Raw genomic sequence first — 20,029 nt, forward strand, 5'->3', positions numbered from 1 at the left:
TTTGAGATGGAGGTTCGCTCTTGTTGCCCAGGCTGGAGTGCAGTGGTGCGATCTCGGGTCACTGCAACCTCCGCCTCCCGGGTTCAAGTGATTCTCCTTCTTCAGCCTCCCGAGTAGCTGGGATTACAGGCATGCGCCACCACGCCCAGCTAATTTAAATTCTATGGTTTTTGATTTCTTTTTTTTTCTTTTTCTTTTTTTTTTTGAGACAGAGTCTCGCTCTGTCACCCAGGCTGGAGTACAGTGGTGTGATCTCGGCTCACTGCAGCATCTACCTCCCAGGTTCAAGCGATTCTCATGCCTCAGCCTCCCAAGTAGCTGGAATTACAATTACAGGCATGTGCCACCACACGCGGCTAATTTTTGTATTTTAGTAGAGACGGGGTTTCACCATGTAGCCAGTCTGTTCTCGAACTCCTGACCTCATGTGATCTGCTTGCCTTGGCCTCCCAAAGTGCTTGGATTACAGGCGTGAGACACCGCACCTGGCCTTGTTTTTTTGTTTTTTTTTTTTGTTTTTTTTTTTTTGAGATGAGGTCTTACTCTGTGGCCCAGGGTGGAGGGCAGTGGTATATTCACAGCTTACTGCAGCGTTTACCTCCCCGGGCTCAGGTGATCCTCCCACCTCAGTGTCCCGAGTAGCTGGGACTGTAGGAGTGCATCACCAGGCCTGGCTGATTTTGTATTTTTTTTTTTTTTTTTTGTAGAGACGGGGTTTTGCCGTGTTGCCTAGACTGGTCTCAAACTCCTGGGCCTCAAGCAATCCTCCCACCTTGGCCTCCCAAAGTGCTAGGATTATAGGCATGAGCCAACACACCTGGCCTTGTTTTCATTTTTTTAAGGAGCAGATTAAATTTTGGGATGTGTTTGCCAAAGTTGATGATTTTTACATCAAGAATGTCAATTTTGGCCAGGCGTGGTGGCTCACGCCTGTAATCCCAGCACTTTGGGAGGCCGAGGCAGGTGGATTGAGACCATCCTGGCCAACATGGTGAAACCCCGTCTCTACTAAAAATACGAAAATTAGTTGGGGGTGGTGGTGGGAGCCTGTAATCCCAGCTGCTTGGGAGGCTGAGTCAGGAGAATTGCTTGAACCTGGGAGTTGGAGGTTGCAGTGAGCCGAGATCATGCCACTGCACTCCAGCCTGGTGACAGAGTGAGACTCCATCTCAAAAGAAAAAGAAAAAGATATCAATTTCAAATTATTTTTTTCTCTTAAAAGGTTAATTTTTTAATCACAGAAGAGTGAGTTCTTTTTTCTCCCCTTAATGGCTGTATTAGTTTGTTCTCATACTGCTATGAAGAAATACCTGAGACTGGGTAATTTATAAAGGAAAAAGGTTTAATTGACTCAGTTCCCATTGCTGGAGAGGCCTCAGGAAACTTAGTCATGGCGGAAGGCAAAGGAGAAGCAAGTACCTTCTTCAGAGGGTGGCAGGGTGGAGTGAGTGCTAGGAGGGGAAATGCCAGTCGCTTGTAAAACCATCAGATCTCATGACATGAGAACAGCATGGGGGAAACAGCCCCCATGATCCAGTTACCTCCACTTGGTCCTGCTTTTGACATGTAGGGATTATGGGGATTACAATTCAAGGTGAGATTTTGGGTGAGGACACAGCCAAACCATATCAGTGGCATAGTAGGAGCATATTGTCCATGTCATTTCACAGAGATCTGCCTCATTGTTTTTAATGGCTGCACAGTGTTCTGCAGTTTCGTACTTTGGCCACTCTTCTGTTGTTCATCATTTAGGTGGCTCTGGTTTTTGCTCTGAAAATAGTGTTGTGATCAGCATTTTTGCACATGTGTGTGAATTTTCTTGTGAAATAGATTCCCAGGGAGAAGTTTCTGCAAAATGCTTCTTGAAAGAGGTTATATCAGTTGTACCTACCCATGGTGAATGCAATGCTAATTATTCAGTAGTCTGTCTCTTTCCTTGTTTACCAGCTGCTGGGTAGAAAATAGGCTGTCTCTTTAATTTCTATCCTATAATCACTCATGAGGCTGAGCACTTAAAATCTGCTCATTGTCACTGATATTTCTTATGTGAATCCTCTCTCCTGATGATGATGATGATGATTATTGTTTGAGACAGTCTCACTCTGTCGCCCAGGCTGGAGAGCAGTGGCACAATCTTGGGTCACTGCAGCCTTGACCTCCCTGGTGGCTCAAGCGATCCTCCCACCTCACCCTCCCGAGTAGCTGGAATCACAGGCGTGCACTACCATGCCCGGCTGTGTTTTTTTAATTTATTTTTATTTTTTTATTTTTTATAGAGATGGGGTCTTACTTTGTTGCCCAGGCTGGTCTTGAACTCCTGGGCTCAGGTGATCTGCCCTCCTTGACCTCCCAAAGTGTTGGGATTACAGGTGCGAGCCACTGCTTCCAGCCCTTGTTATTTCCTGTTGGACTGTTTGTCATGTCTTGTTTGGTTGTGTTTTTCTTGCTGATTTGTAAGAACTTTTTATTTCAGGCGTAGTTATCCTGTGCCTCTGCTTTGCTTGCAGTATTTTCTGTCAAGCTGATGCTTGTCTCTTGGTTCAACTTGTACAGTACATTTCATAATTCAGAAATTGTAAATCTTTTTTTCTTTTTTTGAGACAGGATCTTGCCATGTTGCCCAGGCTGGTCTCAAACTCCTGGGCTCAAGTGATCCTCCTGCCTCAGTCTCCTGTGTAGCTGGGATATAGGCACTTGCCACTGTGCCCAGCTTCAGAAGTTTTAAATCTTTGTGATGCAGAATCTGACAATCTTTACCTTTATAGGTTGGGAGTTTTGGGCAATGCTTAGGCTATTTCCAATTATTTAACGTATCTTTTAGCATTTTTCTGGCTTTGGTTTTATGGTTGGCCTGTTCATCTGTCTTTTTTAGTGTTTGCAGTGCTAATTTTATTCCACATCATTAGCCATTTGTCCCCATACCAACTATTTAATGGTCTGTATTTCCCCATTGATTTGAGACAACACTTGTATTATATATAACTTCTTTTTTTTTTTTTTTTTTTGTGACAGAGTCTTGCTCTGTTGCCCAGGCTAGAGTGCAGTGGTGCAATCTTGGCTCACTGCAACCTCCACCTCTCGGGTTCAAGCTATTATCCTGCCTTAGCCTCTTGAGAAGCTGGGTTTACAGACATGCACCACCATGCCCAGCTAATTTCTGTATTTTTAGTAGAGATGGAGTTTCGCCATGTTGGCCAGGCTGGTCTCAAAATCCTGACCTCGGGTGATTCACCTGCCTCAGCCTCCCAAAGCGTTGGGATTACAGGCGTGAGCCACCGCACTCAGCCTTATATGCCAAATTCTTATTTACACTTTAACATTGCAATGTGTGTTTCATGCTTGACTTCCCGTTAAATTGCTTTCTTTTTTTTTTTTTTTTTTTTTTTTTGAGACGGAGTCTTGCTCTGTCACCCAGGCTGGAGTGCAGTGGCGCAATCTTGGCTCACCACAACCTCTGCCTCCTGGGTTCAAGCGATTCTCCTGCCTCAGCCTTTCTTGTAGCTGGGATTACAGGCATGAGCCACCATATGCGGCTAATTTTTTGTATTTTTAGTAGAGACGGAGTTTCACCATGTTGGCCAGGCTGGTCTCGAACTCCTGACCTCAGGTGATCCGCCCGCCTCGGCCTCCCAAAATGCTGGGATCACAAGCGTGAGCCACTACACCCGGCCTAATTTGCTTCCTTTCTTTCAAGTTGATAGCTCAAAATGTTGACTTCCAAAGGTTTTTAGTTGTAAATTGAGTCAGAGTTCCCACAACTTGTTTCGCAGGGGTAAGGATAGGTTTTTACCAGGGAATTACTGAGTATTCTTAGTCCATTTGAGTAGCTTTGCTCCAGGAGGGAAGAAGAAAAAGAAAGAATCCTAGGAAAGGACATCTGTCTCTCAAGAGTCCATTTCCTTTCATCAGGAAAGCAGTATCTTTTCAGGAAACTCTACACAGTAGACCTGTTATTATAAAACAGTAAAACACTGAAAAAGTTTAAATTTTTAAACAACATGTTTTTCAGAATGTATCCTCATCTTTAAGCAACACATGACTTACGTGTACATGTATACAGACAAACACACACACATCATTTAAGCAACTCAGGTGTTATGAGGGAAAAAACAAGTGTGTATGGGGGGCAGATTTAAATCCAGGTGAGTAAATTTGAACACCTACATTAAACCTTCAGTTCTCTATGTTTATAGAATTAAGTTCCACAGCTGATGTAACTGACTTCAGTCTGTAAAGTCAAGCCTGCCTTGTAGGATCTTATGGGGGTTCCTATTTGTATGTATTCATATTTGGTCAAGCATTTGGAATAATGCCTGGCACATAGTAAGCACTTGGTGACTTGATTAAAGAAGTCAATGAGGCACCAGGCTTGATCCTTATAGGCCAGGTGAGCAGGGAGGCCCCTTTTCATTCTTTGATGCCTCAGATGAGGAAATGCCTGTTGGAGGGGATTTCACACCTTTCAGAAGAAGGCCCCATTGTTCCAGTTGACGCTCGTGGAGACAGGTCTCAGTCAGTAAATGCTTCTTGAATGAAGCATTAGGTGGTTGGACCAGATCTGTCTTTCCCGTGGGAGGAAAGTGAGATGATTTTAGGTGTTACACAGATGCTTATCATTTTTGTAGTTAGCTATTTATTACAGTGTTGTGTTAGAAAATGTTAGGCAGCACCTCAAACCTAAGTATTTTTAAAAAGTGAGTGATTTAAAGACACACTAAATTGAACAGGTGGCATGTGAATGTCATGGAAACTGAAAGCATTTATGGATTGAAAGAAGACTGGGAAAATCTTTGAGGTCTTTCCAAATCTGAGATGTTTGATTTTTTGAATCTAGGCTTTGAATATGAAATCAGGATATACAAATAGAAGTGATGTTCTCTGGGTTTTGGGAGCAGAGATGTGTAATGGAAATTGACAGGCAGAACTAGATGCACAGTGTCATGCAGGGTGCAGAGATAACAGTGTATTAACACTTTGGTGTCTGCTGTGGGCAGCCTTGCATGTGTATGTATTCTCTAACAAAATTGGGAACATCCTACACATACAATTTTGTGATTAGGTTTGTTCACCTGATACTATAACTCTGTGTTCAGTGTTCCTGCAGAGAAATCTTTGTGCCCATACTTGATTTTCTTAGGATTAAATCCTAGAAATGGGATTGTGTGGTCATTGTGTACGCATGTGTTTCAGGCCTTTTATACTTGTCATCGCAGTGCCTTGCAGTGTGATTGTGCCAGTTTAAGGTTCCGGCAGCTTGAGTGCCCTCTTCCCTATCCCTCTCCAAAGCCAAGCTAGATTAAATAATAGTTTTGTTGGGTCGGGCGCGGTGGCTCACACCTGTAATCCCAGCACTTTGGGAGGCTGAGGCGGGCGGATCACGACATCAGGAGTTTGAGACCAGCTGCCCAAGGTGGTGAAACCCCGTCTCTACTAAAAATACAAAAATTAGCCAGGCGTGGTGGCGGGTGCCTGTAATCCCAGCTACTCGGGAGGCTGAGGCAGGAGAATTGCTTGAAACTGGAAGGCGGGGGTTGCAGTGAGCCGAGATCACGCCATTGCACTCCAGCCTGGACAACAAGAGCAAAACTCCATCTCTAATAGTAATAATAATAATAATAATAATAATAATAATAATAGTTTTGTTGCCAATTTGTTCAGCAGTTGGTTCACTTACTTTCCAACTGATGTCCTATAAATCCTAAAACTTGCTGCTTGTCTCCCTTCAGAACTGCCATCAGCAGCGCCCGACAGCACTCTCCTCCTCACTGCCCAACACTGGGTGGCAAATCTTTTCATCTTGGCCACTCTGATAGGCTGGACAGTGAGGTCCTTCTTCCTAGGGCGCATGGAAACCTGTTGCAGTCACCTGGGTTTGCGGAGTGGGAGGAGGAAAGTGTTAGGGGCACTAGGAGGTGGGAGCCGGTGGGAGTTGCTGGCTGGGTGTGTTTGCATTATGGACCCGTGCATCTCACCACTCTCTACCACTGTGCACCACTGTGACCACGGACAGGGTGCTCCTGAGGTCAGTCCCAGATGCCCTCCAGACCCTGCGTCCTGAGCCTGCTTCTCCCTCTGGCCTCCTCCCCAGTTTCTTACTGTCCTCCGGCCTCCCTGCCTCCTCTCTGTACTGGAGGCTCAGGTGTGTTCCCCGAGTCTTTCTGCCTGCCCTTCCTTCTGTCTGGAATGCCTTTTGGACACCTGACTCTCCCATTCTCCAGGGCTCGCCACGGCCATCCCCTTCTGAGAGAGGCCTCCCCCGTGACCGTCTTCCTCTCTACGAGTCACTGCCTTCATTCCTCATCATCTTGTAATTATCTGCCTCTCCTTTCTCTCCTTGTTTACCACTGTACCCCCAGTGCCTAGCACTTGGCAGACACCCACATGTTCCTTGGCTACACTAGTCGTATTGAACAGTGTAAAGAATCTGGAGGTGAGAGGATAGAACCTGCTCTTTATTATCCAAGAGTCCAGCAAGTTATGGCTTCCAGAGGGAGGCAAATTGATCAGGTTTTCAACAGAGCTGCTTAGCAGCGGGGCGAGTGCCTTCCTTGGGGAACTAGTAGTCAAGCAGTGACTTGATGTTGCTGCCTTGGTTCTTGCACGGGATGTTAGGGTTGATGAGATCATTTCTAAGGTCCCTTCTGATCCTTAAAACTGTGGGATGAGTATTCTCATCTGTGGGTTGCTGGGCTACCATTCTTGTTTCAACTGCAGATGTAGCTTTTACCACTAGATGACACTATATGATTTCTTTGAAATCAGTGTTTCCCAAACTGCCAACCACACAGAGGAAATACATTTTTCATTGCACTTACACCCTCAACACACACTTGAAACAAAAGTAGGCTGGGCACGGTGACTCACGCCTGTAATCTCAGCACCTTGGGAAGCGGAGGTTGGAGAATCACTTGAAGCCAAGAGTAAGCATCATAAATGTCTTAATCCTTACTATATGTAATGCATCCTATTTTTTATTTTACTTGGTTCAACATTTAAAAAAGTAATGCAGGTTTGCAAATGAATTGATTTTATTGTATTAATGGGTCATGACTAACTGAAAACCATTTTTTTAAGTATATTGTTATAAAACTGTGTGGGTATGCTGTTTTCCTTGGACAGTCTGGGCTTGTATAACAGATCGTGTCCATTAGTGAGTATTTTCCATGTTTCTGTGGTGAGTTGCTGCATGGAGCAGCTGAACATGTGCTTCCTTTTGGGTGTCTATGGATGGAAGAGGTTGGGAGATTGTGCAGAATTCAACACTTATTGTAGTCAGGCCAGAGGTAAGCCTTAGTAGCAGATTTAAAGCTGTATTATTTACTTCTAGAAGCTGAGAGACATGACACACCCATACCCTTAATTTCACCTTACTTAGCAGGCAACAAGAAATGGGGGCATTACTCAGGGTATCATTAGGATGCTTTGGGCTGCAAGTAACAGAAGCCTGACTCAAATTGGCTAAAAGGGTGAAGGCACTTATCTCACAAAATCGATGTTCAGAGGTAGAGCAGTCTGCAGGCCCACAGCAGCTGAGCATGGCCTTCGGGATCCCGCTTCTTTTCATGAGTCCTCAGTCATCCTAAAGCTGGTTCTACTCATGGTTGCAAGAAGGCTTCCTGTGCTAGATGAAGCCTTAATTCCTTGTAGTATAGACTGGCTAGAGAGAATTAAGGCTACTGTGGCATTTTCCACATTGTTTTGTTCGTGCTTGCTTTGTTCATTTCTTCCTAGTTTCCCCACTATGACCTCCCTAAGAAGAGTGAAATGATTGGCACCTAATACAGAGTCAGGAGAAACACTTGGTTAATTCATGCTGTTTGTCAAGTGTTTCTAAGTCTCCCTTCCTCTGGGCACAGGCTTTTTCATTTAGTGGAATTAACTGACTAGCTCTGGCCATGAGTTTGCAGAGTGAATAAATGGCTGCACATCTTCTGTATGAAGCATGAAGTGAGGCTATTTGCTATGTAGGGTCCTGGGAAGTGAATTAGCAATATGAGGGAAGGGAGTGAGAAGGCCCACTGTGGAAAATGTGATGGGTGGTGTAACGTGAACATAAAGATGAATGGATGGCTGCGTCTTCGCTTGTGTAACAGGGCACTAAATGTGCACTTGGCCTTTTGAGGTGGATGGTTGGTTTTCGTCGAGTTCCTTGATCTGGTTCCTGGGAACTTGGCAGTGGACCTTGGTCTGAACCTACTCAATCTCTACTCACCTTCCTCCTTTTTTCTCCCTTCCAGGTTTGCAGTAAGCATTGGCTACTGGCATGACCCTTACATACAGCACTTTGTGAGACTGTCTAAAGAGAGGAAAGCCCCTGAAATCAACAGAGGCAAGTGACCATCTCCCTCCCCAACAGCACCTCATCAGCTACCTGAGGTTTTAGGGGTTCATTCTTGAAGGAAGTCGTGGTGTGCTCCCTTTCCAGCTGTGCGCAAAAGTGCTTATTTCCCCAGATCTTCACCAACACGGTGTGTTATAAACTTGTTTGCAGCCATAAAAAGGAATGAGATCATGTCCTTTGCAGGGACATGGATGAAGCTGGAAGCCATTCTTAGCAAACTAACAGAGGAACAGAAAACCAAACACCGCATGTTCTCACTCATAAATGGGAGTTGAACAGTGAGAACACATGACACAGAGAGGGGAACATCACACACTGGGGCCTGTCAGGGGTGGGGGGCAAGGGGAGGGAGAGCATTAGGATAAATACCTAGTGCATGCAGGGCTTAAAAATCTAAATGACAGGTTGATGAGTGACAGGCCCCAGTGTGTGATGTTCCCCTCTCTGTGTCATGTGTTCTCACTGTTCAACTCCCATTTATGAGTGAGAACATGCGGTGTTTGGTTTTCTGTTCCTCTGTTAGTTTGCTAAGAATGGCTTCCAGCTTCATCCATGTCCCTGCAAAGGACATGATCTCATTCCTTTTTATGGCTGCAAACAAGTTTTATAACACACTGTGTTGGTGAAGATCTGGGGAAATAAGCATATATATATGGCATATATATACCTATGTAACAAACCTGCACATTCTGCACATGTATCCTGGAACTTAGAGTAAAAAAGAAAAAAAAAAGAACACAATATCTACTTCCACATTAAAATCACAATAGTTTTTGAAATTTTATTAAATTTAATGAATTCAAAAAAAAGTATTAATCTTCTTTAATCTGTCATGTGAAAAATGGTATCTTACTGCAATTTTAAAAATGTTTCTCCTATTTATAAGTGACGTTGAGGATCATTTTCATGTGTTTGAAGCCCATTTAAATATCTTTCACTGTAAACTGTCCCTATCAGGAATCACTTTTTTTTCCCCAATGAGAAAAATACATAAAGCTTTATTTTTCACATGTGTATTCCTACACTAATTGGATAAATATGGAGAAACTGCTTTATAGTACAGGTATGAGGAGGAGAGTCTCTTAGAATTTACATCAGACTTTTCCTCTGGTTGGTTGGTTGCCTATGGCTCATCTAGGTGTCTGGACTAATTATGTGGATTTAATTGGGTTTTTCTATAAGGAGACATTCCAAAGGCTTTTGTATATTTCAGGCTGAGCATATCTTAGTTTTCACGCCTCTTGTCTGTGTATGTGAATCTTCCCTAAGGATGGAAATTGAGGATTTCTGCCCAGTTGCGCAGCTTGAGGGTTTTAAGTCTAGAGGACGTGGGTCTTTTACAGCTTTGTTGATGTTCCTCACTGTGGGTGGGAGGGAAAGTGTTGTGAGACCTGGTAATTCTCAGATGAGGGAGGGCTCAGAGGTGCTGACAGCAGTAGGCCTAGGCTTAGGAGATTTGGCCCTTAAGATTCTTCAACAGGGCTGGACGTGATGGCTCACACCTGTAATTCCAGCACTTTGGGAGGCCGAGGCGGGCGGACCACGAGGTCAGGAGATCGAGACCATCCTGGCTAACACGGTGAAACCCCGTCTCTACTAAAAATACAGAAAATTAGCCGGGTGTGGTGGCGGGTGCCTGTAGTCCCACCTACTTCGGAGGCTGAGGCAGGAGAATGGCGTGAACCCGGGAGGCAGAGCTTGCAGTGAGCCGAGATCACGCCACTGCACTCCAGTCTGGGCGACAGAGCAATACTCCATCTCAAAAAAAAAAAAAAAAAAATTCTTCAACAGGGTTGGGTGCGGTGGCTCACGTCTGTAATCCTAACACTTTGGGAGGCCGAGGCAGGTTGATCACTTGAGCTCAGGAGTTCAAGACCAGCCTGGGCAACATGGTGAAACCCTGTCTCTACAAAAAATAAAAAATTAGCCAGGTGTGGTGGCATGTGCCTGTAGTCCCAGCTACTTGGGAGGCAGAGGTGGGAAGATCGGCTCAGGCAATCAAAGCTGCAGTGAGCCAGGATTGTACCACTGCATTCTATCCTGGGTGACAGAGCGAGACCCTGTCTCAAAAAAAAGAATCTTCAGTAGATTTATTTTCCTCCCCGGCTCACAGTATGAGTAGTGTTGGCCATTTAAGTATTTATTTATTTTGAAGCTCGCACCAACAGGTAACTTGTTCCAGAACATAGCTAGAATATGGTTTCAGATGCCTGCCCCTTAGAAACTCCAGAGCGTAAAGAGAAGTCTGTATCTGGATGTGCATGTGCCATGTGCAACATTTGATTGGCAGCAGCCTGAATGTGTTAAGTCCCCAGTTTCTCTTTCCCAGACAGCAGAGTATGCAGGAAAGGTAGTCATTCAGCTCCATTCTGGCTTAGCAGTGTAAAGCCTGAGAGGGAAGAGATGGAGAATTACTTTTTGATGCCTTATTTTAGTGTTAATGACACTATTAGGCTCTGCAGATAATTTCCATCAAGGAAGTCAAAGGCTTTGAGACAGGAGCCTGCCTTATTCTCAGCCAGATTGAGAAATTGACCAAATGACTATAATTCTTGTGTGTGCAGGGAATCTTGGCTCTCAAGTTGGATCCTGTAGGTGGGTTCTATAAGAAATGCCAAGAAATTTTAAAGTGGTGGTTTCTGAAAACAAGGACATGCAATTTTATTTTGCATTCCCTCCCCTGCTTTTGAGGCAGATTTCCTAACAAATGCTGCACAGGCAAAGACCCCCACCCCACGCCCTGGCGGCACCCCTCTCTTCTACCCTGTATTTGAACCTTTAGAATGCAGCCAGATTGGAGAGTGCCTCCCAAATGGTGTATGGTGAGGACATTTTTCCCCCAGTGTCCAATCCATCGCGGATGATATCTCTGTAAAATACAATAGAAATGATCTAGAAAAATAAAATGAAAATGACATACAATGTACAATTCCAAATCATTTATTAGTAGATTGAACAGACTTGAAATTTCTCTGTCAAATTGTAATAAAGTTTCTAAATGCTATCAGATTTTTTTCTTAAAATAGTCACATACTGTTAACAGCCATGCACATACTTTGAGCAGCATAGTTTTAGAGCACAGACAGACCTTGTGATCTTTTCTTCTTTATTTCCATCTCCTTTTCCCCAACCCTCCACCCGAAAACTTAACAGTGGCGCAATCTTGGGCCACTGCAACCTCTGCCTCCTGGGTTCAAGCAATTCTTGTGGTCTATCCTCCCAAGAAGCTGGGATTACAGTTGTGCACCACCATGCCTGGCTAATTTTTGTGTTTTTAGTAGCAAGCCATTTTATTAGGCAGCAATTTGCTGGTCTTCTCTGCGACCCCCATTTTACATAGAGACTAACCCATTCAGGGTGGAGGTGAAGGGAACAGGATAACAAATATAGCTTCCTTTGTGTTAACATTCATCTGCTCAGTTTCCTGACCCATACTATTATTTTTCATATGATCTCACAATTTTCAGGTTTACCCGAGTCCAGAGTGGCTTTCATTATAGCCATGAAAGGCACATTTCCAAGATGGACTTTAGACGTTTCAATGTAAAACACTTATTTTTCATACATAAAACTATAGCTCATTTTTTCAAAGGTAGTTAATTGCTTCATGAAATAGATTATACTTACCTTGGTTCAGATGCCTTTAACCAAAAAAAAAAAATTTGAAAGTTGCTGTTTCTCCCATAGAGTCTGCAGATTAACCTCTGACACTGCAGAAGGGCGCATGCTCTCTGTTTTGCTCTTCTCCTGGGGTGGGCTTCACAGGGATAATTTCTGTCATCACTGGGTGATAGCTTGTTTCTGTGCCTCCCCTCCCCCCTAGGATATTTTGCTCGAGTCCATGGTGTCAGTCAGCTTATAAAGGCATTTCTACGGAAGACAGAATGTCATTGTCAAATTGTCAACCTTGGGGCAGGCATGGATACCACCTTCTGGAGATTAAAGGTATGTTCAAATTCCCCTCCTCCCTCCCCAAGTGTTTAGATTTTTTTCGTTAGATTTTCACCTAATTCGAAATGTAAACATATATTAAAAGTTATGCAGCGAAAGCCTGTCTCCCACCCCTGTCCCATCTGCCTAGATGCCCCTACGACTCTCAGTCCTGTTTTATCTCACCAGGGCCCTGGTGACAGATATTTTAGGTTGTCTCTAATTGTTGTTACAAATGGAGCTATAATAAAAATCCTTATATTTCCCTCAGTATGAGTAGAAATATGTCAGGAGGAGAAATTCTACCAGTAGAATTGCTGGAATGGAGAGCTCATGCATGCATTTGTAACTTTTTTTTTTTTTTTTTGAGCCAGAGTCTTGCCCTGTCACCCAGGCTGGAACGCAATGGCACAATCATGGCTCATTACAGCCTCGAACTGCTGGGCTTAAGCAATTCTCCCACATCAGTCTCCCAAGTAGCTGGGACCACAGGCATGCGCCACCACATCTGGCTAATTTTTTAAGTTTTTGTGTAGAGACAGCGGTCTCACTATGTTGCCCAGGCTGGTCCTGAACTCCTGGCCTCAAGCGATCCTCCTGCCTCAGCCTCTCAAAGTGCTGGGATTATAGGCATTAGCCACTGCGCCCAGCCTATATTTGTAATTTTGACAGTAACTAAGATTTTGTCAGGATAATGGCTTCTTGGGTAAAATTTGGAGATTCATATGGCTGGGTGATGATAATATGTTGCAAAGCCATTTTGTAATCTTTTTCTGATTTGGTCTCTTAACTGCTCTGTTAGAGTATGAATGCAGGTCTAATTACATTCTCAGAGGGAAAGAAAACTGGAGTGTGGTCTTTGGCTCCTGGGCTTAGGTTTTTTTTTTTTTTTTTTTTTTTTTTTTTTGAGACAGTCTTGCTCCTCTGTTGCCCAGGCTGGAGTACAATGCCACAATCTTGGCTCACTGCAGCCTCCACCTCCCGGGTTCAAGCGATTCTCCTGCCTTAGCCTCCTGAATAGCTTGGACTACAGGTGCACACCACCATGTCTGGCTAATTTTTGTATTTTTAGTAGAGACGGGGTTTCACCGTGTTGGCCAGGCTGCTCACAATCTTCTGACCTTGTGATCTGCCTACCTCGGCCTCCCAAAGTGCTGGGATTACAGGCGTGAGCCACCGTGCCTGGCCTCCTGGGCTTAGATTTTAATAGCCAAACCGTTTCCCTACAAAGTCCTCACTAATTGGCCGGGCATGGTGGCTCACACTTGTAATCCCAGCACTTTGGGAGGCTGAGGTGGGCAGATCACTTGAGGTCAGGAGTTAGAGACCAGCCTGGCCAACATGGTGAAACCCTGTCTCTGTTAAAAACAGAAATTAGCTGGGTGTGGTGGTGGGCACCCGTAATCCTAGCTACATGGGAGGCTGAGGCAGGAGAATTGCTTGAACCCAGGAGATTGTGGTTGCAGTGAGTCGAGATCATGCCACCGCACTCCAGCCTGGGCGACGAGTGAGACTTCGTCTCTTAAAAAAAAAAAAAAAAAAAGTCCTCACTAATTGCATTTTTTTTTTGTAGGTTTGTACAGATTTTGCTTGGTTCTTCTGTCAGGTCCGTCATGTGACAGTAATGGGAACGTGCATTTCTCCAGATTTTTTGCGGATGTTGACCAAGACCCACTTATCTGTTTTGTCCCCTAATCAGTTCACCTGATATGAAGGTCTTTGGTCATCAGAGCTCTCAACCCTTCTCTTATTGAAGTGAGAAATCAGTGACTTCAACAGAGTGTGGGTATTTCTTTGCCTCTGCATTCTCTTCTCAAGATATAATCACTAACATCATGAAGTGTTTTTACATATATGACCTCATGAATTAACACGAGAACTCTGTAAGGGTGTTTTACACAGATGAGGGAAATGAGACTGCAAGATTGTCTTCCAGGATCCTGCAGCCAGAGGCTCTGGGGCAGGGATCAAGCATTGTTATCTGCCCATTAAACTCCGGATTTCTTCCTCTTTCCCCTGCACACAGCCTCTGTGGTTTTTCAGGAGGGTGACCTTCCCTTTTCTGTAGATCTGTTGTATCTTTGTTTTTCCGTCATTGTTATTTTTGAGACAGAGTCTTACTCACTCTCTCACCCAGGCTGGAATGCCATGGTGTGATCTTGGCTCACAGCAACCTCCACCTCCCGGGTTGAAGCAATTCTCCTGTCTCAGCCTCCCCAGTAGTTGGGATTACAGGCGTTCACCACCATGCACAGCTAATTTTTGTATTTTTAGTAGAGCTAGCATTTTACTGTGTTGGCCAGGCTGGTCTTGAACTCCTGGCCTCAAGTGGTCCACCTGCCTTAGCCTCCCAAAGTGCTGAGATTATGGGTATGAGCCACTATGCTCGGCTGACCTGTTGTGTTTTTGTAATGAGTTGTCCCATGGTGTGGTGTGAGGAACCAGAGCACAGTACAGTGTGAGAGAATGTGCTATGTCAGTGTTAACAGGCCGCTGGAGAGATCCTGCCATTGGACCTGAGACCCCGTTGACTTGTCACGCAATTTGTTTTTTTTCTCCCGTCTTGTAGATGGATTAATAATTAATAAATCTGAGCCTCTTATTTATGAGCAAAGTAACCTGAGGCTTACGTACCCCTCCTAAGAAAAAGGCAGTCAGTCAGTAGTGAGGAAGGAAGACTGTATAGTGTCTGAAAGTTCTTTGTGGAAATGTTTTGGTTTTGATTGGTAATTATATTGGGCTGAAGGCCTTTTTTTGGTCTGAAGTTTCTTTTAAAATATATATCTATATATATATATATAACATTTGTTTGCTTTTTTAGAGCAGGTGTTACAAACTGTAGCCCAGGGCCAAATCTGGCCCACAGCCTGTTTTTGTAAATAAAGTTTTATTGGAAGGCAGCCACTCCCATTTGTTTGCATATTGTGCTTCAGCAGCCATATGACAATTATAACAGCAGAGTTGAGTAGTTACAACAGAGACCATCTGGCCTGCAAAGGCTAAAATATTTACTTTCTGGCTCTTTACAGAAGCAGTTTGCCAATCTCTGTTTTAGAGGTATGTGTGTGTCTCTAAAAGTGTAGCGAAAACATTGTCTGTGGGTCTTAGTGTCTCATGCACCTTCCAGCCGGAATGGTTCCTAGGTTGCACCAGCAGAGGTTTAGCTGTGAGTCATGGGTGTGAGCTTATTCCATAAAATCTCAGGAGCCCAAGACTGTACAGTTAAAGACTCCCATCTGCTGGCAGTGAGCAGGAACAGGACAAAGAAGAGTTAGTCTTGTCACAAAAAAGGAATAAAGGGGCCAGGTGCAGTTGGTCACGCCTGTAATCCCAGCACTTTGGGATGCCGAGGTGGTTGAATTGCTTGAGCTCAGGAGTTTGAGACCAGCCTGGGCATCATGACAAAACCCCATCTCTACAAAAAATAAAAAAATCAGCCAGGCATGGTGGTGCACACCTGTGGTCCCAGCTACTTGGGAGGTGGAGGTGGGAGGATCACCTGAGCCCCGGAGGTCGAGACTGTAGTGAGCCAAGATCGTGCCACTGCACTCTAGCCTGGGTGTCCAAGCGAGATGCTGTCTCAAAAAAAAAAAAAAAAAAAAAGGAAAGGAATAATGGGTGAGTGAAACCCTTTAAGGGGCCTCCATTTCTTGGTGTCTCCAGAATTCTGTTTCCATGGAACCAATGGATCCCTACAGCCTACTTTTCTCCATCTCCCTGTGGAGGGAAGCAGGGTCAATTTTGGCAGTCTGTGAGGTGGTCAGCCATGTCGAGTCCCCTTTGGGTGCCCCATTCCTCCTGCCCTGTGGCAGCTGTTCCCAGTCTCGGTGTCTTCCATACCAGTCAGTTGCATGCAGGCTATTTGGAGTGAAATATCAAAAGGGCCATCAAGAATCACAGAAGAAGAAGTTGAAGCATCACTTGTCACAGCCATTTTGCCCCTTTCTCAAGAAACAGGATATCTTTTTTTTTTTTTTAAGTTCTGGGGTACATGTGCAGAATGTGCAGGTTTGTTACATAGGTACACACATGCCATGGTGGTTTACTGCACCCATCAACCCGTCAGAGTCTCACTCTGTTGCCCAGGCTGCAGTGCAGTGGTGTGATCTCAGCTCACTGTAACCTCTGCCTCCAAGGTTCAAGCGATTCTCCTGCCTCAGCCTTCCGAGTAGCTGGGATTACAGATGCGCACCACCGTGCCTGGCTATTTTGTAGAGATGGGGTTTTACCATGTTGGCCGGGCTGGTCTTGAACTCCTGGCCTCAAGTGATCCACCACCCTCAGCCTCCTAAAGTGCAGGGATTACAGATGTGAGCCACCGCGCCCCACAGGATGTCTTTCTTAAGCGCTCCGGGTGTGCCTTTTGTAAGCTTTCTCTGCTCTGACTTCTTATTCAGAAGTTTTACAAGGTTCTAATGCATGGGAAAGCTCTTTAAAAAGGAAGAAGTCCCATAAGAGCTGCAGGGCACTATGCTGTCTTTCATTTATATACCTTTAATTGTTCTCATTGTCTTCTGGAATTTTAGGTGATCCTTAACTTCCCATATGCTGTCAGTAAAAGTTCTTAAAAGGTGTTGTAGAAATTGAAATTCCTAGTGAAAGTTATTTCCATATCCCCCTACCCATACCAATTCTCCTGCCTCAGCCTCCCGAGTAGCTGGGATTACAGGCACCTACCACCATGCCCAGCTAATAGTTTGTATTTTTAGTAGAGACAGGGTTTCAGTGTTGGCCAGGCTGGTCTCGAACTCCTGACCTCAGGTGATCCACCTGCCTCAGGCTCCCAAAGTGCTGGGATTACAGGCGTGAGCCACTGCACCTGGCCCCCCTCAAGTATCTTGAAATAGCTTCTGCATAACCCTACCCAGCAGGCATGGGCTATACCTCTAAGTGTGATCAGCTCAGATTCATGAGCCCAAGTCTCCTTGGATGGCTTTTTCTTTTTTTTTCTTTTGTGACAGGATCTGGCTCGGTCTCCCAGGCTGGAGTGCAGTGATATGATCTCAGCTCACTGTAGCCTCCTCCTCCCAGGCTCAAGCCATCTTCCTAACTCAGCCTTCCAAGTAGCTGGGGACTACAGGTGCAAGCCACCATGCCTGGCTAATTTGTATTTTTGGTAGAGATAGGGTCTTGCTGTGTTGCCCAGGCTGGTCTCGAACTTCTGGGCTCACGCACTCCTCCTGCCTGGGCCTCCCAAAGTGCTGGGATTACAGGTGTGAGCCACTGTACTTGGCGTCCTTTTTTGTTTTAAAAAGATAAATCCCAGCCTGGGTCCCCTGGGATTCCAGCAGAGGACTGGTCTTTATGTGGGAGGGTGCTGTATCTTTCAGCCCTGATGTTTGCTCTTAAGGGTCATTCACCTACTAGGATATGGTTACTGGTGATTTCTGCCCCCATCATGCTGTCCACAGGAGGTCTGCTATGCCGCACTCACCCCCCCGGGATTCATCTGTCCCTCTATACCTGTGCTCCATCTCTTGTTACTGTCTCCATGAATGGTTCTCTTACCTGCCCAGTTGCTCCAGTCAGAAACAAGGTGTCACCCTAACTTTCCTTTTCCTCCATCCCATCCTCTACCAGCGAAGCCATCACCAGGTTCTGGATGTCAGCAGTCTTCTTTGTTTTAAAAAAGTAGTTCTGTATTTCTGGGATAAGTGGAGAGGGGGAGAGGCTGGGCAGGTGGGCCAGGCTATAGAGTGCCTTGTTTCTTGCTGAGTTTTAGCAGTGTGCAGAGCTGCAGAAGGCCACCTGCAGTAGATAGTGCAGTACACAGCAGCGTGCAGCTTTGAGACACCAGAGGGGGTGCTGGGACAGTCTGGGCTGGAGGTGACAGAGCTCAGGAGGAGTGAAGGGATTCCAGAGGCATCAGCAGGGCTGAAGTACTGGGTGGCTGGATAGCGAGGAGGGCACCGAGAGAACACTAGGATGATAGGATGATGTGTGCGTGACTGGGTAGGGAGGGTGTAGCTACCAAGCAAGCCAGGTGACCCAGGGCTGTGTGTGCGCATGTGCGTGTGTGTGTGTGGTTGTGTGTGTGTGTATGTGTGTCTTTCATATTTGTTTGACTGCAGGCCACAAGAAGAAATAAATGTTACATCCTGAGCCAGGGCCCCCATCTCTATACCTGTGTCTGTAACAATAAAGGCACACACGTGTTGATTCAAATGCTAGAGACCTCATTTTAGGGTGCTGCTTTCCTTTGATCCCCGCCCTAGTTTCCTTCTTGCCCTGGCACCTTCTTTCCAGCACGTTGTGCAGTATTCAAAACGCAGTATACCTTCCCTTATTGTTACAGCTCACAAGCTCTTTGGATCCCCGTGTGATAATTTTACTAAGGTCAGGCCATTTCCTGTGAGCCCCACATGTATTGCCTCATTAATCTTCACAACCCCATAAAGTGTTAGCATTTTCTTCACTTTTCTCTTTTCTTTTTTTTTTTATTTTATCTTTGAGACGGAGTCTCGCTTTGTCGCCAGGCTGGAGTGCAGCAGCGCGATCTCAGCTCACTGCAACCTCCGTTTCCCGGGTTCAAGCAATTCTCCTGCCTCAGCCTCCTGAGTAGCTACTTTTTGTATTTTTTGTAGAGATGAGGTTTCATTCACCATGTTGGCCAGGATGGTCTCGGTCTCTTGACCTTGTGATCCGCCTGCCTCAGCCTCCCAAAGTGCTGGGATTACAGGCGTGAGCCACGGGTGCCCGGCTTCTTCACTTTTCAAACAAGTAAATCCTGGCCCAGTGAGTTTACTGACTTTCCCAAGACCTTACAGCATGTAAGTGGTGGAGCTGGGGTTTGAGCCACTCCAGCTCCAAGAGTGCCTGTTCTTTAATCTATCATACTTCACTATCACAGAGAAAAATGTATCAGAGGCTGGGCACCTGTAATCCTCGCTACTCTGGAGGCTGAGGCAGGAGAATCGCTTGAACCCGGGAGGCAGAGGTTGCAGTGAGCTGAGATCATGTCATTGCACTCCAGCCTGGGTGACAGAGTGAGACTCCGTCTCAAAAAAAGAAAAAAAAAATGAAAAATATATCAGAAAATAATACCCTTAATATATGTGATGCTTTTGATACTGGCTGTTTTAACCTATTTCACCCAAAAAATAATGCTCGTCAAAACCTACTACATTGATTTCCTGACCCTCCTAATGGAGCTCAAGCTGCCTTTTTTGTTGTTGTTAAATCGTTTAAACTTTTTAATTTTTTTGCATGGACAGGGTCTCGCTGTGTTGCCCAGGATGGCCTCAAACTCCTGGCCTCAAACGATCCTCCTGCCTCAGCCTTCTAAAGTGTTGAGATTACAGTCGTGAGCCACTGCACCTGGCCTCAAGCTGCCTTTTGAAAATACGGAGTATATTCTACTTCCAAAGCACCTCTCAGCTCCTCCCCATCATCCCAGCTGCCACCTGCTAGCTCAGGCTCCTTCCTGGACCTTACCTTCTTACCTGGCTGACTCCTCTGGCTTCCTGACTTTTTACCTTCATCTGTGCTTGCTTCCCTCAAATCTATTCTTGAGTAATTCGAAAAACACGTCTGCCCATATCAGTCCCCTGATTTAAAAATCCTTAAACACTATTGCTCTTAGGTGCCTAGTGCTTGATATGTGGAAGATGATCAGCACATGTAAGAGTAAAGAAATAAAAAGTATTGTGTGTTTTTCCCCAGGATGAAGATCTTCTCCCAAGTAAATATTTTGAGGTTGACTTTCCAATGATTGTCACGAGAAAGCTGCACAGTATCAAGTAAGTGTGGCATGGCCAG

The 20,029-nt window shown here is 45.1% G+C and overlaps 1 protein-coding gene across 6 annotated transcripts in view, besides 1 other annotated feature; it reads left to right on the top strand.

The window, feature by feature from the left end:
• Positions 1-20,029, top strand: part of LCMT1 (leucine carboxyl methyltransferase 1) — a 66,487-nt gene that overhangs the window by 8,496 nt on the left and 37,962 nt on the right. For 3 of the 6 annotated variants that reach the window (XM_011545864.2, XM_011545862.3, XM_047434197.1), the window contains exons 2-5: positions 5,727-5,889; positions 8,238-8,329; positions 12,165-12,286; positions 19,934-20,010. In XM_011545864.2, coding sequence (XP_011544166.1) covers positions 5,727-5,889; positions 8,238-8,329; positions 12,165-12,286; positions 19,934-20,010 — 454 coding nt within the window. The remainder of the gene's footprint in view (positions 1-5,726; positions 5,890-8,237; positions 8,330-12,164; positions 12,287-19,933; positions 20,011-20,029) is intronic. The other 3 variants (NM_016309.3, NM_001032391.2, XM_005255354.5) reach the window with 1 other exon arrangement.
• Positions 5,912-6,154: a silencer, noted in NCBI's record as "fragment chr16:25137470-25137712 (GRCh37/hg19 assembly coordinates)". NCBI's record gives its function as "represses an EF-1alpha promoter that drives an FKBP-Casp9 reporter gene in an ReSE screen in HepG2 liver carcinoma cells {active_cell/tissue: HepG2}" and the evidence as "EXISTENCE:reporter gene assay evidence [ECO:0000049][PMID:32094911]".

This window comes from Homo sapiens, chromosome 16 (assembly GCF_000001405.40).
Source record: "Homo sapiens chromosome 16, GRCh38.p14 Primary Assembly".
Lineage (NCBI taxonomy): Eukaryota > Metazoa > Chordata > Mammalia > Primates > Hominidae > Homo > Homo sapiens.